The 25,343-nt window shown below is 41.3% G+C and overlaps 1 protein-coding gene and 2 long non-coding RNA genes across 3 annotated transcripts in view, besides 1 other annotated feature; 2 read left to right on the top strand and 1 right to left on the bottom strand.

The window, feature by feature from the left end:
* The window catches only part of TMEM252-DT (TMEM252 divergent transcript), a 103,426-nt gene extending 84,322 nt beyond the window's left edge, over positions 1–19,104 (bottom strand). Inside the window, exons 1-2 of the long non-coding RNA NR_187592.1 lie at positions 18,899–19,104; positions 17,487–17,751 (exon numbers count right to left, since the gene is read on the bottom strand). This is a non-coding gene — a long non-coding RNA (TMEM252 divergent transcript). The remainder of the gene's footprint in view (positions 1–17,486; positions 17,752–18,898) is intronic.
* Positions 122–231: an enhancer, noted in NCBI's record as "active region_28436". NCBI's record gives its function as "activates an Ori minimal core promoter by ATAC-STARR-seq in GM12878 lymphoblastoid cells {active_cell/tissue: GM12878}" and the evidence as "EXISTENCE:reporter gene assay evidence [ECO:0000049][PMID:35858748]".
* Positions 13,527–16,588, top strand: LINC01506 (long intergenic non-protein coding RNA 1506). The gene is made up of 4 exons (NR_109769.1): positions 13,527–13,570; positions 14,293–14,412; positions 14,505–14,628; positions 16,526–16,588. It is a non-coding gene; the product is annotated as a long intergenic non-protein coding RNA 1506 (long non-coding RNA).
* A 141-nt stretch (positions 19,105–19,245) lies between the features above and the next one.
* Positions 19,246–23,549, top strand: TMEM252 (transmembrane protein 252). Its single transcript, NM_153237.2, has 2 exons — positions 19,246–19,592; positions 22,636–23,549. Exons 1-2 carry the CDS (start codon positions 19,315–19,317, stop codon positions 22,868–22,870), a joined length of 513 nt encoding a protein of 170 aa, NP_694969.1. The 5' UTR covers positions 19,246–19,314; the 3' UTR covers positions 22,871–23,549.
* The last annotated feature ends 1,794 nt before the right edge of the window (positions 23,550–25,343 follow it).

Genomic DNA, 25,343 nt, shown 5'->3' with positions numbered 1-25,343 from the left:
CTTACTTTCTCCCTGGAAGCAACAGCTGGTTTCTGTTTCCTGCTTTCCTTCACACTTTCAGAACCAGCCTTATTGTGCCACTTTGAAAGTACCAGCCACTGCCAGGGGGCTCCCCCTCCTCAAAGGCCTGAGTCTGAGCTCCACATTTTCACTGAGAACTTCCCCCCCACGGAAGGCAACTACCTTGTCCAAGAATAAATTCCTTCCCAAGGGTGAGCCAGTGGCCAATGGGTGGCTGATGCAGGGAAGGAAAGGCTGGGCCCCTAGCTTCAATTTGGTACACCTCTGGAGGACCGTCTAGCTCCAGAACTCTCTGCAGGATTGGTTAAGGCCTCTGGGTGGCAGCCCCTTTGTAGATCAGCTTCTCCCCTTACCCAGTTCTGCCTTCTTCACTTCCTTACTGGTGCAGCTCCCTAAAGCACCCCCAGTCAACTCTGCATGCAATTCTCTATCTCAGAGGCTGTTTCCAAGGAACCCAATCTAAGCCAAGGCTGCTTTGTTTGATGTACAAAGCATTGCTCTTATACATGAAATAAGTAAAGAAATACAAATGCTGTCAAGTTCACCAAAACATGTTCAACCGGAAAGAGGGAGGAAAGGAATGAGGGTCAAAGAGTAAAAGCAAAGTGAAGAGCAAGGGAGAATGACTGGGAGGGTCTACAAGGTATATTAAATGGAGGTGAAGCAAACAGTACCTAGAAGCAGAGTGGTCATTAAGAGCACAGTGACTTCCTCGGAGCTTTCCTATGAACCTCAACAAGTGTCATTCCCCCAAAGCCAAGAAGACGCAGCAACTCATCTCAGCCTTTTCTGGCACCCAAAGGCCTAAATGAAGACAGCAGGGGAAATACTGCCAGGGACTTTATTTGAATGCAGCTTGAACTTGCTCCACCAGCAGAGGCCCTCCATGGCCTCATAGGGGATGAGTGTCTTTTCCATCTGCGTCTGGTCTCTGGCATGGGACAATAGCAACATGGCCTATGCTCCCTTCCTGCTGAGTAGCACTAGGTGACAAGGGATAGAGATGCTTCCAGAGTCTCAGCTCATGGCAGGGAGGCCACACTTCATCTCTTTCTGACACCTACCCAGCCTAGCTAGGAAAGAGGACCAGCTACAGCAGGAAGGAGTCTGTACTTCCATTGTCTACCGCACTGGTTGGTGTAGAAGAGAAGATGAATGCAGGTTGAGGTTTAGCCTTTGTCATTTCTATAGGATGCAGTACATGAACCTCCATCACGTGTCCCAAGGTAACTCTTTCGGGAAAGTGAAATTGCTTTTTTATTAAAGTATAACGTGTCCCTTTCCCTGGTACCTGCCTCCGCAGCTCACCCATGCTTGTGTGCTCAGCAGGCCAGTCAGCACAAGCCAGAATCACATCAAAAGGGTAGCAGTTGGGAGGCAGGGGTCAACCACACTGTAATATTTAACTATGTTACTTAAAAGCAACTGGAGAAAATGCATTTTAACTTTCAACTTCAAAGAGAGGCCAAGGCCAAGGCCAAGGGGATTATTGTAGTATCTTGCCCTGGGGACATATTGAGGAATAATATTTGAAGGATATGAAAAATACGTGAGGCCTCTATTATCAGAAACCAGCAGCCTTGTTATCTCCTGCCTGTTTATAGACTTGGCATTGGCCTAAGAGTGGAAGAGACACACAAATAACACAAAGAAGTGTGAGAATGGATCACACTATTCTAGGTGTCACTAAGTCACATCTATAAATGTGTATTCTGATGAACAGCGATACAGTGAAGTCAGATTGAGGGTGAACCACTTTAGAGATTGGATTTGCCAGGACATTACTCTCAGATGAGTGGTAAAATCAGACCCCTAGTGAACACATGCTTCTGCTCGACACGTGAACTTCAGCTGGAGTTCACAGTCATTTGGACTGCTAAATAGGTCTAGAATGTTTCAAATGGCAACAGTCCATTTTTAGACAATCAGGTATCCTTTTAAAGATATAAAATTGCATTGGTCACCATAATTATTTAAGAAGTATCTTTGACACAGCTTCCTTCATCTGTCTATTCAATAAATAATGACTATGCCATCATTGCTGAGTACCAGATCCTGGGCTTGGAGCTGTGAGTACCCAGGTGAAGAGGGGAGACAGAGTGCTTGCCTCGACGGGGCTTGTAGTTTCATATGGAATCAAGACCGTAGAACAAATAAATACTTACAGTTGTTTTGTGTGTTATTCTGGGAGGACTTCATCTTATTCAGGAGCCAAGGAAGACCTCCCTAAGGAGGTAACAGCCTTCTGAGACTTCAGTGAATAAGGGGGAGTTGGATACATGAAGAGATGAGGGGAGAAGAGACTTCCTAGAAAGAGAAGCACCTCCAAAGTCACAGCCATGAGAGAGTGTGGCACGTAAGAAAAGCTGTGAGCAGCCCCAAACAGGAAGCAGTGAGGGCTAGGCAAGGGAGACAGTCAGGGATCTTTACAAAGGGCCTTCCATGACAGGTTTTTTAAAATGTATTTTTTGAGACAGGAGCTGGCTCCATCGCCCGGGATGGAGTGCAGTGGCGCGATCTCACCTCACTGTAACCTCTGCCCCCTGGGCTCAAGTGATCCTTCCACCTCAGCCTCCCAAGAAGCTGAAACTAGGTGCGCCACCATGCCTGGCTAATTTTTGAATTTTGGGGTTTCGCCAATTACCCAGGCTGGCCTTGAGCTCCTGGACCCAAGCGATCCTCCCATCTAGGCCTCCCAAAGTGCTGGGATTACAGGCGTGAGCCACCACGTCCAGTTCCATGACAGGTTATTGATTTGCAATTTCCCCTTATATTTAAATAGGGAAGTGACATGGCTAATAGGTCCTCTGTCTGCAGAGGGAAGAAAGAATTGGAAAGAAGGAAGAGATGACATGGGGAGGCAAGTTAAGGAAGCGAATGTCCTTGTCCAGAAGTGGGATGACAGTGGTTTAGATTAGGATGGTAGCGTGTAGTGGAGAGGGGTAAAAGGTATCTCAAAATTACCTTTTGGAAAGGTGAATGGGAGTGAAATAAACAGCATGTGGAGACAGAGAATGTTGGATATGAAGGAGAGGGAAGGGCCAAGAATGACTCCCAGGGTTCCAGTCTCATTAGTTTGGGTAGATGGTAGTGTCCTTTCCTAATGCAAGAAACACAGGAGAAGGAGGTTTGGAGTGGGCAGTGGCATGAGGATGGGGGCAGGCTTGAAGGGGATGATGGTGAGTCTGGCTTTGATTCTGAATTGCTCTGAGCTTTCTGAGTGGACATGTTGAGTAGATAGTTGAAGACATGAGCTTGGAACTGACAGATAGATATAGGAGACATACAGATAGAGATAGAAGTAGAGGCAGAGATAGAGATTTGAGAGTCATACAAATAAATGAGGTCACAGGTACCTGTGGCTCCCTAGCTTTTTTGAAGGGGATCTACGATGTAAAATGTGTTTTGTATTAAACGTGCACACTCCATAAATCAAGGTTAGCCTGAACAATTCTTAATCTGGCCATATGTGATGTTCAATCATATGCTATTCTTTCTCCTAATGCCGCTGACAACCTTCCGCATTGATTTAATGACCCATCAATGAGTGGCTATGCATAGTTTGAAACGTCTAATTTAGGGAATGCAGAATGAGAAGAAAAAAGGGGCCAAAGTAGACCCCTGAGGAAGTCCATTGTGTAGGGTCAACTAGAGAAGGCGGTGCCTGAAAGAAGATAGTGAGTCTCCAATGGAGAGGTGAGCAGAAAGAACCCAGGGACCAGCAAGGTCTCTCCTTACATTTTGTAAGATGAATACAACAGCTCTGAGGATAGCCAGGTAACTTCCAAACAGAGGAAGCAGTAAGTCTCTACCTGGGGCTCCAGTAGACCAAGGAAACTCTTTCTAAAAGCTCCCACCAACCTTCCCTTTTGTTTCGTTCACCAAGATTGGTCACACAACTAGGTCCAAGACAGTAACTGGCAAAAAGAGTGGAATGACCACACTTGGCTCAGGCTGATTAAAGTCCTCACTCTGTGGGGCTGGGAAGGGGTGATGCTGCCTGAGCATAGGGCAGGGTGAACACCTGAACCTTAAGGCTCTCATAACAGGAAGGAGTTAGCTTCCTTGGGAAGGGGAAGCTGTTGCCTGTACTCCTTGCTACTCAAAGTGTGGTCTAGGGAGCATCAGCATCACGTGGAAGCTTGTCAGAGTTGCAGAATTTCCAGTTCTACCCCCTTCCTGCTGAATCAGAGTCTGCACTTTCTTGAGATTCCCCAAATGATCCATGTGGCCATGTGTGAGAAGCCCTGGCCTAGATGGCAAGGGGGCCCATGGTGTCTGCTATGTTGACTCAGGTCACCCTGCTGTTTGTCCATTCCTTCTCCCACTTGTACTTCCATCACAAATCCCACAGCACCACACATGCTTTGCAAGGTTTTGCTCCATTAACAAGTCCTCTTTCATTTTCCACAGAAGGAGGCAGAACAGAGTCTTAGTGTAAAGGCAGCAACCTTCCAGCTGTGACTAGCCCAAGCCATCAGCATTGTTCCTTTCAATTACCCTGTTCCTGGGAGGCATGAAATTCTAGCTAAGGGCTGACAGGGTCACTTGGCTGCTGAAAAGTTCTGTATTTAACAACTCTAGGTGGGGTTTGGGGTTTTGTTGGCTTGTTTTTAATTTTTTTTTTTTATTTTTTAGTATAGCTGCTTTTACTTAGTGCACAAGATTGCATGCTCTAGATTAGAACTTCTATACACAGGGACTGTGAGGCAACCCTCACCCTGAGGCCCCAGAAAATATTAAGTATTAGAATAAGCTCGCATGCAGCAAGTTCTCTCCAGTGTTTGAGGCTCTGAGGCTTAAAGAGACAAACAGAGAGCCTAGGAAATTTTCAGAGAAGAACAAATTTGCTTAAAGAATGGGAGGACCAAACCTAAGAGGGAATGTTAAAATCATTCACATACCTGAGGCTCAAGAAAGGAAGAAAGAGAAGTAATTAAACATGTAGAATTAGATAACATTTTACTGAGGCATCACCCAACCAGTTCTCTTCAGTAATATATGCTCTTTCTTTATTTAAAAAAATCAGTTGTGCATACTCAGAATTTGATAAATTATGAAAGGATTAATATATAATGCCTTCCTTGACTTTCTTCCTACCCATACATTCATTCATATTTATTGATTACCTGTTATGTACCAGATACTCTGTTCTGACAATCTTGTTATTTTACTCTACTTAACATGAGAATATATTCTTCTAAAAAAACATAAATGTGTCAAGATGGAAACATTAATCAATTTGAGACAAGAACATTTCTGATTTAGCTCTAATAAAATGTAGCAATTTCAATATAAAGGGCACTGTTTCCTTGTGTGGCATTCAGACTTTTATACTCTGTCCCCAGATGACTTTTCAGTCTCTCGTTTCATTCCTAGTCTCATTTACCTGCTGGTCCTGTCCCATCAGTCTACTCATCTTTGCCTTGAACTCACCAGACCCTTTCATGCAGTTCCCTTAGTTTAAGTACTTTTCTCCCTAAAATACCTTTTGATGCTTTAAAACCCTTTAAACTTTAGGAATGCATCTGTAGTATTCTCTGCAAAGGATTCTGGAGTCTCACCATTTTAAATTAATCATTCTTTCCTCTGTCTTCCTTGAACATGGTGCTTTTACTACAGTTGCACTCTTACCTGCTTTGCATTGTGGTTGCTTGTTTGCATGGCTCACGGTAAGTTTTCAAAGGACAAAGAGCATAACTCATTCTTTGTGTTCCCTCCAGCACTTAGTTACATTCCTGGTGAGGTAGAATTAATGGTGCCCACCAAATATTTCTAGCTATTTGAATCTTCTGGGCCTACAGTAGATTTACACTTCTTGGTCCCCTGTGGTTGGTTGGGGACATGTGACCAGTTATTGCTAATGAGTTATAACAAAGCGATGTGTGAAACCTGTGGGCCAAAATTTTAATTGTCAATGCAAGACCCTTCAGTGTCATCTGTTCTCTTGGCTATTGTGACTATTTGTGTTTAGGAAAATAGCTACTCCCTCAGCTGCATCCTAAAGTGAAGAAAAGGTCAACTTAGAGCAAAGATTTAGCTGACCTATGATGGACTCTGTGAGAGAACAAGGAATACATTTTTGTCATTTAAAACCATGGAGATATGAGGTTGTTTGCTACAAAGCAAATCCTAGCCCATCCTGATTCATACACTTGTAAATGACAGGTGTTTGATAAATACTGTGAATCTAAAATATTTTGCAAATCTATTAGAAGTAGCAATTAATAATTTTATCATCAATTGTAAATGTATTACGTAAAATTGCAAATGTTAAAATCAGCTGTGCAGAGAGACATTGTGATGTAAGGTGAAGAGTGTAGGACATAGAGCCAGTAGGGATGGGTTTGTAAAGTGGCTCTAAATGACCTCGAGGAGGTCACTGATACTCTTAGGACTCAGCATCCTTCAGTCTTAAAGGGAACTTACCTACACTGCAATATTGTTGTGATAATTAAAGATAGCAAAAGTAAAATTGCCTGGTACATGTTGGTACTTGGTACATAATTATTATGATTGTTTTAGGTGTATTTTTCATATTGGACCATGTGAAAAGTGAAAAACACGAGAAACTGTACATAGTTCAGTTTAAACCAAGATATACCCTGCTATTCTTTCCTATAGATCAGCAGCAATTTTCTCCCTCCTTCCTTCTTCTACCCATTTTTCAAAAACTAAAAAATGTGGGCCCCTATTGATTTTTAAAAAGATAATGAACATTATATATGTATATGAAGGTACAATAATTTATGTCTAAGTCTCATTCAGAGAAAAAAATATTGGTCATGAATTATTCAGCTTCTTCTTGGGCTAGGCATTAGTGACTCACATTAAATAAACAGATGCATTGAAAAAAAAAAAAAGAAAGAGAAAAAAATAAGACCCAGGATTTATTTTTAAGCTTTTGTGGGCTAGAAAATGGGAATCATCTGTTTTTGAGACACTCAACTATATTTGTAAAATTAAAAAAAAATGTGAGCTTGATGATAAATCTATGTGAGGATAATGTTTTGCCTTTTTATTTGGATTTCCAACACTTGTTCAAGTGCAGTGAACTAGTCATCCCAAAACACTTAAACAAAGGTTTCTAACCGTCTAATGCCACAATCCCATAAGAGTTTATAGTTACTGTTATGGATGTTCACGACTTGATTATACTCCTGGCTATGAGAAGTCGTTACTTCAGTCCCTCAACATAAGCAGGGCATGACTCATCTTTCTGAGGCAGTAAATAGCAACTTGGGTAGATCAGCACCATCTTTATACTTCTTAGAATACCTTTAACTTAGAAACACATCCCCTCAGAAATACTTTATACACATTGTGACATGTGCTGAAAGAAACATTGTGTTCCAAAGATAGGTTCTTGTCTCTAGGGCTCTAATAAGGGGGAGGAAAATCTCAACAACCATATTTTCCAATTCAACTAAGGATTCTGCTTCTGTAATAGCAGCAAACAAGGAAAGTGGGAATAAAATCAAAAGACAGGAATGAGCAGATTTAATCCTCCCCTATTGCCAAGTCAAACTTACTCCCTTTTTTTCCCATCCATCCCCTCTCTAAGTCTCTGCCTTGGTCCTCACCTATTTAACTGAAAAAAAAAAAAAAAATCAGATTGAATCATGAAGACTTATGGAACTACTACATGCCAGGAATTTCAATTCGTCTTAAGGATCTACAGTGCTGACATTTTCTCTCTTCTCAAGGACCTTATTATTTAGTGTGGAAGAAATAAAAGAATATCAGTAATTATACTTCAGTATGATAAACAGCGAAGACTCATTCAAAATATAATCACTGAAAATACTGTTTTCAAAAAACACATGTTGTTATACTAAAAAAGCAAAATACAAAATTATGTATACAACGTGATCCTAATTTTGTAAACAATACCCACTCATATCCTTATACACTCAGAAAAAAATGGGGGATCGAATTGGCAGACTGAGCACATCAGTCTACTCCCCCCGCCCCGACTTCAAATTCCACTGAAATACCAAACAAGAAAAGTTACAGTCGAAGATCAGAAATTCTGAAGATTTCCTGGAATACAGACCAAAGAATTGATTGACAAAGAAATCAAAGCAGAAAATGACCAGAAGGAGATTACTGCAAAGGTCAGGGCTGTTTTGTGCACTAATGTTCTAGAGAAATTTCAAGCTCAGAGTTAACTCGTACAGTGCAGGGAGGGGCCTTGTCAGTAATTATCTGATCAATAAATTAAAAGATTGCATTATGGGCCAGGCGTGGTTGCTCATTCCTGTAATCCCAGCACTTTAGGAGGCTGAGGTGGGAGGATCACTTGAGCTCAGAAGTTTAAGGCCAGCCTGGGCAACATGGCGAAACCCTGTCTCTACTATAAACACACACACACATACACACATACACACACGCACACACACACACACAATTAAAAAATTAGCTAGGTATGGTGGTATGCGCCTGTGGTCCCAGCTACTTGGGAGGCTGAGGCAGAAGGATTGCTTGAACCCAGGGAAGTTGAGGGTGCAGTAAGCTGTGACCATGCCACTGCACTCCAGCCTGAGTGACAGAGCAAGACCTTGTCTCAAGAAAAATAAAAAATAAAATTGAAAGATTACATTATGAATTGCCTGGCCTGTTATGATCTTCCTATCACTCTCACGTGCTGCATTTTTGGCAAGAGTGGTGTTTGCTTTCTGGTTAAAGCCTCGGTAACTGCTTTAAACAGTGAACCTGGGGAGTTTCCTATCAGAAGGGCTGACTCTGGACAGAGAAGCAGAGCAGGGTTGAGTAATTCTACATATACAACAAGGCGTGGCAGGAGGAGCGGTGGGAAGAAAAGGAAACCATTAGCTGCTTCTGATGTGAGAAGTTCCCAGACCACTTATGCTGGGGAGAGAAACCCCCTCACATCAACATCATCTACCTGAACACCTGCCAGCTTCTACCCCAAAACTCTAGAGGATTATGGCTCCCATAATCAGAACCTTCATTCACTGGGATGACTGTCACAGCCATAAAATAGAAAAAGAATCGGATTTCTGGATTATTGAAAATACAATCACTGCTACTTTAAAAATCGGGCTGAATATCCAAATGGATGCAAATGAGTATTAAATTAGTGAGCTGCAATATTGAGTCTGACTCTTCCAGGACACAGTGCAAAGAGATAAATAGAGTTCCAGAAGCTCCTATGTCTACCTAAAGGGTTTGTAAGGAAGGGGACTCTGCTGCCCAGGCTGGAGTGCAGTGGCATGATAATGGCTCATTGCAGACTTGACCTCCCTCAGCATGCCCATCCCCAGCGTACCCACCCTGAGTACCTGGGACTAAGGCACGCCACCATGCCTGGCTGATTTTTGTATTTTTTTGTAGAGATGGGGTTTTGCCATGTTGCCCAGGCTGGTCTCGATCTCTTGGACTCAAGTGATCTGCCTGCTTTGGCCTCCCACAATGCTAGGATTACAATACCCCATATTCTTACCATCCATAAGACTACTGAATGCATATTAGGATTTATTTGTAGATTTTGTTTTTGTATTGTTTTACACTAGAGTCTTTCCCACTGAGTGAAAATACCGCAATTTAAATTTACTTAGAATACTTTTTTTATGGCAAGCAATCAAACTGATAAGAAGTTAGGTTCATTTGTTACCTTTTTTAAAGAAAAATTTTAAGGATTACTTTGCTTTGATTTAATTTGGTTTTTAATTATGTAAAATATGCTTATAGTTCCAATTTTGTAACTATTTTAAAGACACATTCAGATAAATCTGTCTTCCAACTGTATCCTTCCTACCCTGTTCCCTCCCTCCTAAAGGTAACCATTATAAAAATTAATTTTCTTTGATAATCTCATTGTTTCTTTTTGAAAATATTGACATATATTCATACATATTTGTATCCCCTCTTTTTTATACTATAAACTTTGTTATTTGATTTGTTATCTTATCAGTATACCCTAGTAATATAGAGATGTTACTCATTCCTTTTTATAACTGAATAGCATTCTGACACGTGAATGTACCTTAGTTTATTCAACTGGGCCCTTATTCATGGCCATTTGAGTGTTTCCAGTCTTATATAATTACAAACAATGCTGCTGCAATAAGTAAATCTGCACATTTAAAATTTTGTATTTTTGCCAATGTATCTTTGGAATATATTTCCAGAAGTGTGATTTCTGGGTCAGAAAGAAAAATGCAAATGTAAGTTTGCTAGCTGTTGTATTCCCACCTGCAATATATGAGTATCTTTGCCCTGCAGCCTTGCCAACAGAGTGTGTTGTCAAACTGAGATTTTTGCTGATCTGATAGGCAAGAAATTGTATTTTAGTACTTTCCTTATTATAAGTGGGGTTGAACATATTTTAATTGTTTAAGGGCTATTTCCTATTTCTTTTAAAAACACTTATATGCTTATATATTTTGCTCATTTTTATATTATGTGAAATTACTTATTATTTGGAAATGACTGACAATGAGAGCATGGCATATAAAAATGTGTGTGATTTGGGTCAAAGTGACACAAATGGGTGGCACTAATTATATTTATTTGAAAACAAGATTGGAGATAAATTAAGCATACTGCAAAAAGGATGACAAAACAGTCATTAAAAGTAGACTAAAGAAATTGTTAAAGATTAAAGCAAAAACTGGTGAATCATAAAACTAATAGAATCGTTTAAAAAGGCCTGATTTACTGAAGACACTATCCCAAAATGACAAAAAATTCAAAGTAGACTAGAGGAATTATTGATGATAACTTCAGAAACTTATGAAATATAAATTTATAAACAAAATAAAATCTTTCTTTAAAAAAAGCCTGAATGATTATAAAACCAAATGCTGACTCTTAGATCAATACATGAACAAGTAGTTTTGAAAAATCTAATGAAATAGCTATGGTTAGTCTCATCAAAAAAACAAAAAGGAATAAAGACACAAATAGCAATGTTAAGAATTGGAAAGGTGACATACCTAGAAAATCAGATAAGACTTTAAAATTATAATTGAATACTGCATATAATATTATAACCATATATTATATTATAAGTGAACGTTATGTGTGTGTGTGTGTGTGAAGAGAATTTGTAGGCATGTAAGTGGAATGTTTTTTAGGAAATTGTAAATTATAAAAAATGACTTCAGGAGAAGAGATAACCTTAAAACCTTTAGGAGAATTTGAAAAACTAATTGAAGTTTACCATAAAGAAATGATGCCAAGGATATCCCCCCTTCTGCCCAGGAGTTAGAAAGCCTGAAAGAGTATTGCTCTCATCTAACAACCAGAAAATGCCTGACAACCTACAAAATCATAATATTTCTTGACTCCATCAGGGAGCTGAGGTTACAGGGCAAGTGAATAGCTTCAATCTAAGGAAAGACAGGAGCCTCCAATGGAAGCCGGGACACAAGCCCTGGCTCTCCTATGACAGGGCCCAGGTATAAGAGACACAAATGTCATACAAGATCGTAAGAATAATTCAGCTGAAGTTTTTAACTAATTGTTAGATGCCAAATGTGGGCTAATGTGGGAGTACAGAAACACTAGGAGCTGTAGACACGATGGGGGTTTGCACCCACTTCTGGGCTCTTCTCCAGTGGATCTCCACCCAGCTGCTGCAGGAAATTGTCAAGCCCCAGCTGGACTCTGTTGAGCTGCTAGAGTCGGGAGGTGGCAAACCCTCCTTCCCCCAGGGCACAGGCGAAACCCATGTGGCTGGAAAAAGTGAAAAGAAAAAGCCCTCTGTAAGGGAGGATCAGGGAACTATCCTGAGGTCAGATTGTTAGAGGAAACTAATGCTGGAGAAAGAGTAGGTTCACTGAGAAAGCCCCAGTCTCCAACACCAGGATCTTAAGGCCTGCATAAGACTAAGGTGGATCAAGACAACAGAGAAACCCCCTCCCCCTACCACCCAGCTAGCAAGCATCAGGTAATAAGCATAGTCTGCTGCTGAAAAAATAGGCAAGAGTATGAAGACCCACCCCACTCAGGTGCGAGTACTCAGTGAAGGTCTAAAATTGAGGATAGAGGAGGAACATTGAAAAAAACCCTTCAGCAAGCCATCCCTCACCCCAAGCACCAGTTAATACCAGAGGAATTTGAAGCCAGTAGTGCACTGAAGGGAACCATAATAACAACAAAACCCAAACTCAGCCCAAATCTTGACTAGATTTGCTCAACTCCCTACACCGAGAGGTGAGCAATGGCAGAGTTGTGCCCATGTTCAGGCATGGCATATCTACTGTTTATCTCAGTCTCTACTATCCTACACACAGTACCTAGCAGTCAATAAAAAATTACAAGGAAAAAAAAGTAAGAGAAAAAAAGGTCTTGGACCCAGTGGTTTTATGAGGGAGTTCTACTAAATCTTTGAGCAACACATATTTTGCTATCACTTAAGTTATTCAAGAGTATTAAAACTAGGAAGTGGAGAAAAGGGAAACAGAATATTACAGAGAATTTCATAAAGTGGGCACAGAAACTGCTTCCTATTTACAAGTCCCTGCCCATCATGCCAGGTGGTGTCAATGCAGGCAGTCAGATTCTGCCCTGGCTTGAGGCTTCTGCTCTGATCCAAAGTGGCCATGGAAGTGTGGTCTTTTCAGTTTTCCAAGGATCCCCAAAGAAATTAAATTTGTTCTGGCTTATTTGTGGATTAAATTGACCTCCCTCTAGAACAAAATTTATCTTTCTGTTTGGCCAATAGACAGGACCAAATTTCCTCACCACAACTTTATTTACAGAAACAGGCTGCTGCCCCATGAGCCATATTCTGCCAATTAGATTTTTTAAAACATTGCTGGAAAATATGATTTTTCTTGATTACTAAGTTCCACCCTCCCCACCCCCTATAACCCCCAACAAATTTTGCACTTTAGGCAACTGCCCCATAGTTCCACCTAGTCCTGGTCTCCACAGAGTCCCCTGGCCCAGAGACCCACTAGGTTCCACCCAGGGTGAGTGGGGCCTCACGTGCTGCTCTCACATCAGCTTACCTTACTGTGCCATGCACTTTGTGAGAAGCTGTTCTTTGCCAACCAAAAAAAAGCCTTCATATAAATCTTCTCCTGAGTGGGGGAAGAGGAGGGAGGGTGGACAGTTTCAAAAGCAAAGAAAACAAGAATGGAAAAGAGGAGGAAGTGGCCAGTGCTCAGTGAACCCTCAAGTGTGAAAGGCTAATCCAGAAATCACTCAGTAATCACCACCGTGAAATCAGGCAGGGCTGACATCTCTTGCTACGCCTATGCGCCCCTTCCCTGCCTCCCACAAAGCCTCACTTCCTAAACCAAAGTGACCTTCTGAAATCTGGCCAGTCTGCCTCAGCTCTTGGCCCCATGTCCCTCCTATGCAACAGCTTCTACACACCATTAGTTTCCTTCCAAAGTCCCCACTGACTTCTCATTCACAGCAATGCTCTTCCTGTTTTCGAAACAAGGGTATTGGCCCATGTGCCTGGTAAACAGAAACTAGAGTGCATAGGGCTGTGAGAAGTTCTAAGGCATTTGTGTATTGCACCGGAGACTGAAAGAAGGGTGAGGTTTTGGGGGCTCTGATGTGCAAGGTAAGGCACTCAGTGTTCAGAACAATCCTCATGGATCTGTCATGCTCAAAGGAACAGTGTTGAAAGAGTGATTATGGTTTAAGATAATTTGGCTGTCAACCAAATAACATGTTGTTGCTTACTGCTATGTCAGACACTTCTGCTGATTGGTGAATTTTTTTTTTAATTTATTTTTATTTTTTTATTTTTCGAGATGGAGTCTCTCTTAGTCGCCCAGGCTAGAGTGCAGTAGTGCGATCTTGGCTCACTGCAAGCTCCGCCTCCCGGGTTCAAGCCATTCTCCTGCCTCAGCCTGCTGAGTAGCTGGGACTACAGGTGCCCACCACCACGCCCGGCTAATGTTTTTTGTATTTTTAGTAGAGATGGGGTTTCACCATGTTAGCCAGGGTGGTCTCTATCTCCTGACCTCGTGATCTGCCCATCTCGGCCTCCCAAAGTGCTGGGATTACAGGCATGAGCCACCGCACCCGGCCTGATGGGTGAATTTTTAAGAGGAAGAATAATAAGCAAATAGACTAGTTTAAAAGCAAGGTATCATTTCCTTGGTGGATCTCTTGAGAAGGAGATGGAAACAGTGATGGGGGACTTTGGCTTGGCCTCCACTGAGTCCCAGAACTTTTCTCTCTAGAGGTGTGAACCATACCCCTCCAGCGTATCCATTTTCCCATCAGTTTCATACTGTCTGTGAACTTTGGTGAATCATCAGTCTCTCTCTTCTGCAGTGTTGCCACCTTTAAATGGCCCCTTACTCTCATAATCAGTGCTGAGTAGTGGCAAGGGGGAGAAAATGGAAAAGTTGGCATGGGAGAGAAGGCAGATCCAGAAGATAGGATACAGCTCAGGTAAAGGGCCAAAGGTCTCCTGAAATGACTCTTCAAGGCAACTTCTTAGTGTTTGACTGCCTCTTTCTTACATTCTTTTTATTTTGCCCCAGCCCTGAGAATGTGGCCTGATTTTCTCTTCTGTTATTACAACTGCTCTTCTGCTTGAGTTTCTTCTACACCTTCAAGATGGCTGAAGAACAAGACGCTTTCTCTCCATGTCTATGCTGTTTCACTGTGAGTAAAGCAAGTGTACATCTGCTTTCATTTCTTTTTTTCAAAAATGTTATTACTACTAGTGAGTGTGGGGAAAGAGGGCATACTGCAACATAAATAGGAGGGAAACTGCAAGTAATAAAAATTGTTTAAAATTACAAGTAATTGGTTTTAGTGATTCTTGGTCATTTTTGAGGCACAGAAGGGGAATAATGCTTATATAGCAGTGATCCATGTGGTTTAGAACTGAAGCAGAAAGAAGACATTCATGCAACCAACAATCATATGAAAAAAGCTCAACATCACTGATGATTAGAGAAATGCAAATCAAAACCACAATGAGATACGATCTAACACCAGTCAGAATGGCTATTGTTAAAAGTCAAAAATAACAGATACTGGCAAGGTTGTGGAGAAAAAGGAATGCTTATACACTGTTGGTGGGAGTGTAAATTAGTTCAGCCATTGCGGAAGACAATATGGTGATTCCTCAAAGACCTGAAGACAGAAACGCCATTCAGTCCAGCAATCCCATTACTGGATATATACCCAAGGGACTATAAATCATTCTATCATAAAGACACATGCACACATATGTTCTTTGCAGTACTATTCACAATAGCAAAGACATGGAATCAACCTAAATGCCCATCAATAATAGGCTGGATAAAGAAAATGTGGTACATATACACCATGGAATACTATGGAGCCATAAGAAAGAACAAGATCATGTCCTTTGCACGGATATGGGTGGAGCTGGAGGCCATTATCATCAAACTAACACAGGAACAGAAAACATATTTACTGCATGTTCCCATTTATAGTGGGAGCTAAATGATCAAAACACATGGACACAAAGAAGGGACCAACAGACACTGGGTCCTATTGGAGGGTAGAGGGTGGGAGGAGGGAGAGGATCAGGAAAAATAATCAATGGGTACTAGGCTAAATACCTGGGTGATGAAATAATCTGTACAACAAACCCCCACGACACAAGTTTACCTATATAACGAACCTGCACATGTACCTCTGAACTTAAAAGTTTAAAGAGTGGGCACATACCCCTGATATAGATATAGCTTAATATATAATCTCCATATATATATGACTACACTCATAGCACATATTACAAAGCACATAAAAAGTAAAGATCAAATATTTTCAGAAAAAAAGAAAGTATGCACAACAATGACAACCTTCATAACTTCATAATAACACATGATAACTTAGCATCTTTTGCTTACAGTATTATGCTGATTTTGTGTTATTACTGTAAAGTACACTGGTGGCTTATATTTGCAGACTAGAACTGTCTCAAGATGCTATGATGCTCAATTGTGTTAACCAGTTTATAATCAATTAACCTAAGCTTGATGATGGCAACTGAATTTCCAGGTATACAAATAAATTTGAGGGTGAAGCATAGTTCCTAAAAACGATGCTGATCTCTGTTTTTATCTGCGGCATTGTATGTTATTTGACAATGCGAGGGAACACCCTATCTTTTCAACCTAATTTTTCTTATAATTAAAATTACCATTTTAAGCATTGGTAATTTCTTACCAGCGAGTAAAGTTTTAATTATTCATAATAAAATTTTATGATGGGCAAAAAGAGGAACTGAAGCAGAGTCACAGTTTAAAAAATTATAATTATTTAGTAATGTATATTTAATAATAAACATAAACATACAAAATAACCTCAACTTCACCAGTATTTCTCTCTCTTTTGCCTTTTAAATTTGTTTGTTTTTATTTGTACAGATTTAGGAGGTATTTCAGGTACAGTTTTATTACACAGATAGACTGTGTGGTGTTCATTAGTATTTCTTAGTCATTTTGAAGGAGAAATATGGTTCCCTGTGATACTTCATATTTCCATATTGATTTTTTTTCCTTTTCTCGTCTCCTTCCCACAGATGCTGCAAATATTCCCAGCCTTTTCCCCTTGATGCCCAAAATAAATTCCTCAAATACCCTGAGCCCAGGAACTATTCTTAATTTCACATAAATTTTATGTAAAGGGACTGAGTCCTTCCATCCCCCTGCCACTTCCTGGATTTTGCTCTTCCATACCTAATTTCTCACCAAAAACATACCACCACCACCATCACAACAACAACACTGCTGTGGAATGACAGGAGCCTCCTCAAAGGGCACTGGAGGGGAAGGAACTGTCTGACAAACTATAAGGCAATGGTTCTAGTGTACTTTATTGGCATGGAGGAGGAAAAAGTATAGAGAAACTTATTTACTCATGTGTTGATGTGATCACAAGAATGAGGCCTGACCTGTCATAATCCCCAGTCTAATTTCTGCCTCCATTTTTGTCTAAAACAGAGAAGCCCAACTGTCTGATGGGCAGTTCCGATTGAGAGTACTCTTCCTCCATCACCTGATTCTTAACATTATCCTGGGGCTTTACCATCTACCTGTTCCTGGGACCCAACTCCTAGTGCAGACCTTTCAGCTGGGGGTCCTGGGTCTTCCACAGATTTTTGGAATTGTAACAGCAATGATAATAACAATATTGGTGATGGTGATTATAGATAACCTTCACAGGGCACTCTCTGTGCCAGGTACTATGATAAATACTTAACATTGATTGTCTCTTCTGATTTTCAAAGTTCTAAGAGAATTTTTTTAGTTATCTACTGCTATCTAAAAAATGGCCACAAAACTTAGCATATTTTTAAAATATACTTTTTTTAAACTTTTGACCTCTTTTATTTGTTAAAATAGTGACATCCATAAACATGAAATGATTTGATCATAATGCATTCATTGATTATGGCTCTTGCCATCTTGTGGCATCCAGGACCCTGGCTGAAACGTTTTATCTCACAGTTTCTGTGGGTCAGGAATCCGAGTATGACTTACCTGGGTCCTCTACTTCAGGGTCACTGAGTCAAGGTGATGCTTGGGAGCAGAGTCATCTCAAGGCTCAGTGGGATGAGGATTTGATTGCAAGCTCACGTGGTCATTGACAGGATGCAGTTCCTCATGGGCTGACGGACTAAGGGCCTCAGTTCTTCAGTGACTGTTGGCCAGAACCTGCCCTCAATTCCTTGCCTCATGGGCCTCTCCAATATGGCAGCTTCCTTCTTCAAAGGGCGTAAGCCAAGAGGACAATAGAGAGAGTCTGCTAGAAAGATGAAAACCACAATCTTGTGTAGCCTCCACGGAAGTAACTTCCGATCACCGTTACCATATTCTATTGATTAGAATGAAGTCACTAGGTCCAGCCTACACTCAGGGGAGAGGATTACTTACACAAGGACATGAATATCAGGAGGTGGGATCCTTAGGGATCATCTTAGAAATATTCCATCTCACAGTTTGGGGAAGGAGGGAATAAGAGCTGTTTTAAGATTACAAAGACAATATCAAGACTAGAAGATCAAGGTAGTTCAAGGTCGAAATTGAAGCTAAGAAAGGTAAAGGCTAAGGGTTGGAATGGAGAAGTGCCTTATATAGTTTTTGATCCATAGTGTGTACCTCTCTAATATCCGTGTCTCCCAGCCCTAACATGAAGGTAGAGCTAAGGAGATGGTGAGTGTGAGACTAAAGGTTATATGAGGGATTATTAGGGCACGCCACAAAAAACTGCTGCTCTCATTGGGAAAGTAAATGGAAAATAATGGTAATGGAGTAGTGGAGTGGAACAGCAGCAAAGAGGAACTGAAGATAAGCTATCCTGAGTAAAAGCAACCCAGGGTTCCTATGGGAAGGAGACTTTTGGCAGAGACATGCCACATTATCAAATAAAAAAGGGCAGAGCCAGGGCATAAAGCACGTCTGAAATAAGCTATCCACAATCAAAGACAGTCAAGCTAAAGAAAACAAATTCCAGCCAGGAAACAGAAGGCTGGTTCTGGAAAGATTTTTTGAGGCAATGCTACATAGAGCAGAGGTGTGGAGGAGAGGACAGGGAACATTTTTAGCAGCATCCTCTAAAACGAATTCTATTTCATATGTACTTTATGAAAGGGGGAAAGATTGCAGGAATTACAGGCCCAAAATCCCCCCAAATTCCCGAGGCTCTGTCTATTATAGTCCTTTTCTCCAGCACTCTCCTTTCCCTCCCACTCAGGCTCTTTCGATCTTGTCAACAGAGCAGGAACCACGAAGTTCACACTCTGAACTTCTGTCTTGGAATTATGCCAGTATCATAGTGTGGGGGCAATAAGTGGGGATTCATTGAGGGAGGCAAGACAAACATGTTAACAGCCTTGAAGAAATGCCTTTTTAGTACAGAAAAAGGGAGAAGGAATCAGGAAGGGATTTCTTACCAAACCTCAAAGAAGATCGTTCTTTAAAGAGTGCTAACTTCTCCAGCTTTTAGTGGGGAATTGCCCTCCATGGGGATTAAGAGACCAGCGCCTTTTAATCAAAGGAGGGCTGTACGTTCAAATAACTGGGAACAGCTGAGTGTCCCACCCAACTCTGAAGAACAAAACAGCTACACGAAGCCACTCCTGCCTGCAGTATACAATGCTATGTTTTTTGGCTAATTCTCCAAGGATATTACACTTACTTTCAATGGTTAATGAATAGCTTCTAAGTGCCTGTTTCATTTAGTTGTCCAAAGGCCAGTGGGTCCCAGAGCATATAAAGCTGCAAGCTGGCTAATGAGCTCATTCTCTTGGAGCAAGCAGGGAAGCAGAGGAGCAGCAGGGTCAGGGTGCTGGGTTCCTAAGGTGCAAGGATGCAGAACAGAACTGGCCTCATTCTCTGTGCTCTTGCCCTCCTGATGGGTTTCCTGATGGTCTGCCTGGGGGCCTTCTTCATTTCCTGGGGCTCCATATTCGACTGTCAGGGGAGCCTGATTGCGGCCTATTTGCTTCTGCCTCTGGGGTTTGTGATCCTTCTGAGTGGAATTTTCTGGAGCAACTATCGCCAGGTGACTGAAAGCAAAGGAGTGTTGAGGCACATGCTCCGACAACACCTTGCTCATGGGGCCCTGCCCGTGGCCACAGTAGACAGGTACGTGCTGACAGGCAGAGGGACCAAGAAGGGCTGAGATGGGCTGAGTTGTGTAAGATCTGAGTAATTTCTGATCCTACTATGGAGCGACTTACATGTCCCATGGGCTGTCTGTCTAGAACCAAAGCTTTATTGTCAGGGAATTACTCTGGGGTTGTTATTAGGAAGAGTGGCGCCATCTTTGGGGAAAACCATGACGCAGGGGCAACTCATCTCAGAGAAACCCTACCACCACCCCCAGTGAAAACCCACCTAAGCCAATTTAGAAACCCAGGCTCTTTTGTTATATCATGGCAGCTGTCATTAATTAGTGGCAGGTGATGGTTAGTTACTTCCCATAACCTGGCTATGAGGTTCTAAGGAAAGCAAGTCCCAGACCAAATTCTGCCACACAACAAATGAAGAAGCAGGCATAAAATGAGTCCTGGAATCTCTGTGAGCTCAGAAAAGTCCCAGTTTACTGTCCTTTTAGGTGTTGTGATCTCACCTTGCATAAAACATTCCTTCAGGGGAAGGTGATAATATTCTAGAGGCAAGATTCATTCTTTCTCGCCATCTCATACATTAGGATAGTTATCATCAAAAAACAAAACCAAACAGCTAGTGTTGGTGAGGATGTCAATAAATTGGAACGCTGTGCATTGCTGGTGGGAATGTTAAAATGGTGCAACCACTGTGGAAAACAGTGTGGAGACTCCTCTATACATTAAATATTGAATTACTGTTTGATCTGGCAATTCTACATTCTGAGTTTATACACAAAGGAACTGAAAGCAGGGATTCAAATGGATGTTTGTACACCAATGCTTGTAGCAACATTTATTCATAATAGCCCAAATGTCCATCAACAGGTGAGTAGATAAACAAAATGTGGTATATACATGCAATGGAATATTAGCCTTAAAAAGGAAGGAAATCCTGGCACATGCCACCACTTGGATGAAGTTGAAAACATTATGCTAAGTGAAACAAGTCAGTTACAAAGGGCAAATATTGTATAATTCCACTTACATGAGTACTTAGCGTAGTCAAATTCACAGACACAGAAAGTAGAACAGTGGTCCCAGGGGCTGGTGGAAGGAGAGACTGGGGACCTATTGTTTAATGAGTAGAGAGTTTTAAGGTGATGGTTGTAGAGCAATATGAGTGTATTTAGTGCCACTGAGCTATACACTTAAAAACAGTAAATTTTATGTCATATATATTTTACCACAAGAAAAAAAAGATTCAGTTAATCTTATAGTCAGTATCAGGCAACAAGAAACCTCCTAATTCTTGGCTAGCCACAGGACCATTTAGGGATAACACCCTAGGCATCATTCTCAAGATACAGGCTACAAGACTATAATTATTTTGCCCTCTTCGTGCAAGAGTAGAAAGTATCTAAAATATTTTAGCTACTCCATGTATCTTGAATATAAGTAATCTTACCCATGAGCATCCACTTTTGGCATCCTTTATGCTAATTAATAAGATAATAATTATGAAAACCAAAACTTATTTCCAATGTTATACTAACCAGCAGAGTTTCTGGGTTTGATTAAAAATTAAGAGAAATGAAGTGATTGTAGAAGATGCCTCTAGAGTGATGATTTCTTTTTGTATAAATGTTAGAGGACTACCTCTAGAGTGTGAATTTCTGATAAATGTAACTGATTGCCTTTAGGATATAGCTTAAATTGACTAACACTGCATAATATTACAGTATACTGAAATGTTTGAAAGTAAATTATGGACATCGTAACACCCCCATTTTACTGCCTCTTCTCGCTGCATGTAATAAGATGCTTATCCCACGCAGAATGGCTGGCAAGTCAGCCTGGGAAGTCACATTTCTCCAAAGCATTTGCACTCAAAATGGATACCCAGGTTGAGATATCAAAGCAAATGGGTCTCCGATGATGGAATTCAGGGGACTGGGAATATGGATGGCAGTTGAAGGAGGGTGGGGTTGGGAGAGGTAGCTGGGATTTGGGGCAGGCAGCAGTCATCCTGGAACCTTTCACATCACTCCAGGGAACATCTCACCTTTCTGTGTAAAATGCCTTTACACATGTGCCCCGTGACTCAGCCTTGGCTATTCTGAGCGAAGGCTGAGATTTATGCCTTATAGTAGACAGCTTCTTCAGCTACTGGCTTTGGGCCTGGTAACATTTGGAATGGAGTTGTGGCTACAAATGGCAGTCCCTGTTCTGTTGTGGTTACACACCATAAACACTCCCTGTAGGCACTGGAAGGATCACTCTATAAATACACAACTCAGCCAAGCTCACCGGTCTCTCTTCCTCCCCTCTCCCCTTCCCCCAAATTCATTCATGATGGAGAAGCCAGGAGGATTTAGCAATTAGAAATGCCAGGCAAGATGACCAATGAGTACATCAGCCCCCGAATGAATGGCTGCTTTAGCCTACTGGCATAGAAAGGGCTACAACTGAAATCTGTGTAAAGTTGTCAGTTGATATCATTTGAGAAATGAATATGTTTGTATATTTTCTTTGAAACTAGCTACTGAGTCTCGAAAGGGTGTTAGGATAGAGACATGGCATCTGGTATAGTTCAGGGATCAGCACAGAGTTGGTTTTCATTCATTATTTTGTTGGCTGTGATGATCAGAGAAAGTGAGTGCAATTGAGGGGATGATGCCATGCGAGAAAGGGAGCAAGGATGTGGATGGACTAAGTACTCGGTAGAGAGAAGTTCCCTATCCAAAGCCCCCACCTCCTCTAATGTTGACAAGGATCTCACACTGAATGGCCCTGTTTTCATGAGTGAATGAGCAATAGAGAAGGAATAGCTTGGCATAACCCACTGGGAAAAAAATGTGACTAGAGGCAGGCATCCTGTGGCTGATAAAAAGGTTCTTTTGGAAGAGCAGCACATTTTTAAAAAACTGGTGATGCCAGGAAGAAGTACATCTGTTTCAAAAATCCATGTTTCTTAACAGTTTAGCTTCGCACAATTTGAGCTGAGAGAGGCAGCCGTCTGCCTCTTTGGCATTAATGCCTAAATAACGCACGCATGTTTATGCTGTTTTGTCCCCTAGGCCAGACTTTTACCCTCCAGCTTATGAAGAGAGCCTTGAGGTGGAAAAGCAGAGCTGTCCTGCAGAGAGAGAGGCCTCTGGCATTCCTCCACCTCTATATACAGAGACGGGCCTGGAATTCCAGGATGGAAATGACTCCCACCCAGAGGCCCCACCATCTTATAGAGAGTCCATAGCCGGCCTGGTGGTGACAGCAATCTCAGAGGACGCCCAGAGGCGAGGCCAAGAGTGCTGAGGCAGAGAAAGCTCTCCAGCACTCATGATGCCACCACTGTGGGGAGCAGCTACTGATAATAAAGGCAAACGAGGGACTGTGGGAGGAAAAGCCACACCAGGGACCCCACAAGAGAGCTTGGGGAGGGGATGACAGCCCTGAATTCCAGACATAACTGGCCATGCCAGGGCAGGGCAGGCCAGGGGCCCTGGAAGGGTGTGGCCAACACCAAGCAGACATTTCAGAGCATTCACACTAATCTTAACCCCGGCTGGCCTTGGGTCCCCAAAGGTGTCACTCTGAGAGCTCTGCTTACAGAGATTCTTTCTGCTGTCACTCAATTTCCCTCCCATCACCTCAACTCCAGCCAGGGAGGAATAGATGCTGGTTGTCAGGACAGCCACATGCCTTCCTGTTCTATATCACCTAGTAATCTCAAAGCGAAGGTTTGTTGTTTAATTTATTGATTGTTCAGCCTTTTGTTTTGTTAGCTTGTTTCCTAGTTACCTCCAGCTGACCATACTACCAGAGTGAGGCAGTACTTCACATCCTGGGAGATATGCCCTCGGAACCCATGAATGTTATTTTGTATTATTTTATTTTCATGATATGTATTTTTTCTATGTAAAAGGAAAATGACTGTAATATTTGCCTTCAAGATGGTTCAAACACAAAATATTAAATGAGCTGTTTCTTAAAAGAGGTCCTTAAACAAATAGACATGATAAGAATGCTTATAGACCCAAATGGAATAGACAGAATACTTAATTCATAATACATGGAATTCCGGGGTGTAGGGTGGAATTTGTACTGGCCACAGATGGTATTAATATACCACTTGATATAAATCTTATAAAGGTTAAAAATATTTGTATGTAATTCAAAGAATCCCCATATAAATCTCTAGAATTTGAAAGATAAGAAACTCTAATGATGTACGTTCATCATTAACAGGAAATTTCTTGTGTCTCAAGATACAGATCTTGACTTTTAGACTTAGGACATTCATTTTTAAATCCGATGGTTTCTCCTCAACTTTATTATATTTTATTGTTTTTTTAAATACAAGAGGACAAGTCTGGTTGCAGGGTGGTAGACAGAGATGCAGCCTGATGCTTTTGAACTTGGGCCAAGAATCTTCATCTCTCCGGGCCTCAGTTTTCTCCTCTATTAAGTGAGGCATTCATGCTGGCTTCACAGTTGTGGAATGCCTGTTATATGGCAGGCTCTGTGCCATGAGCTTTCCATGCGTGTTAGCCCTCATTCCATCTTTAAGAGACAGGCATTATGATTATTCCCATTTTACATATGCATAAAACTGACATTGTGAGAAGTTAAGAAACTTTTCCAATAACACAATGACTTCTAGGAGGGTGAAGAACGGTTCCTAGAGGAACATGGGAGGACTGACTGACTTCACACTTTTGAGCTAGGTAGCCCTGTCTAACTTCTCTCCTTCTAGGAGACAGTTTGGATTTCTCTCTCCCTTCAGAAAATGGGCTGTAACAGAAAATGGAGCCCCAGGGTTGCTGCAATATCTTAAAGCCCTTGGAGAAGTGGCAGAGATTGCTTTAGGGTTAATCGGCTTCTTTTAAAATACGTAAAATGTCCTCCAGGTTTTCTGCCTAGAAACTGGTCCCTTGCCTCATAGCAGAGTTTCCCCCTGATCATTATATTGATGATGAAGAATGATTCCCAATGGAGATAGCCCTTGGTGAATGGGCACAGGAAGGGCTTTAGACAGTTGGTGAGAAGGATGTACATCTTTCAAAGAGGAAGAGGGTGGTCCAGATGGGATGGAGCCTCCTCTGTGGCCTCATCTTCTCCATCATTGCTGAATGCATAGATTAAGTATATCCTGAAAAATGCATAAGAAGCTTCATAAAAGGAAATCCTTGTCCATGAAGCATGAATTTGGGAATCTGTTATTTGAATCCTTGGCATTGAGGGCATAAAGATATGAAGGTCACTCATGGTTGTCCAATAGGGAAGTGATCATTTATTAGTAATGTAATTTATTATTCCTCTTGTCATCTCTTTCTATCTCTCTACTAAGACAGTTATCCTGAAATTCTCCCTGGTGGTCTGAGCACATTTACTGACTTGAACAAGGACCATCATTGGTCTTTTGTCCAGAATTTGCATTTGTAATAGATAGTTTTTCCAACTACTGGTAGTCAAGTGAAACAAATGTTGATTTTGGTTTACATAAGAAATAGTTTTAATCTCTTTACCGCAATAAATTTTGTACTTAAATTTCTCTTTTGCCATTTTTTTTTTGCATCAGAAAAAAAAATCAATAAAAGACCATAAGTCAAAGTATTATTCTCTGGTTAAACTAACACAGTGTCAGAATGAGTTGATCTTTCTGCAAACCCAAACATTATTGAACTCTAACTGCTGATTTGGAAAATAACTTGGGTGTGTCTTTTTGAAAATAAAATACCAGTAGTTATTTGTTCATTTTTTTAACATTTCATGTAAGGCAGAAATA

This window comes from Homo sapiens, chromosome 9 (genome assembly GCF_000001405.40).
Source record: "Homo sapiens chromosome 9, GRCh38.p14 Primary Assembly".
In the NCBI taxonomy this organism is placed as follows: Eukaryota; Metazoa; Chordata; class Mammalia; order Primates; family Hominidae; genus Homo; species Homo sapiens.
The sequence above is the reverse complement of the archived record's forward strand: the minus strand, read 5'-3'. Positions and strand labels throughout refer to the sequence as shown.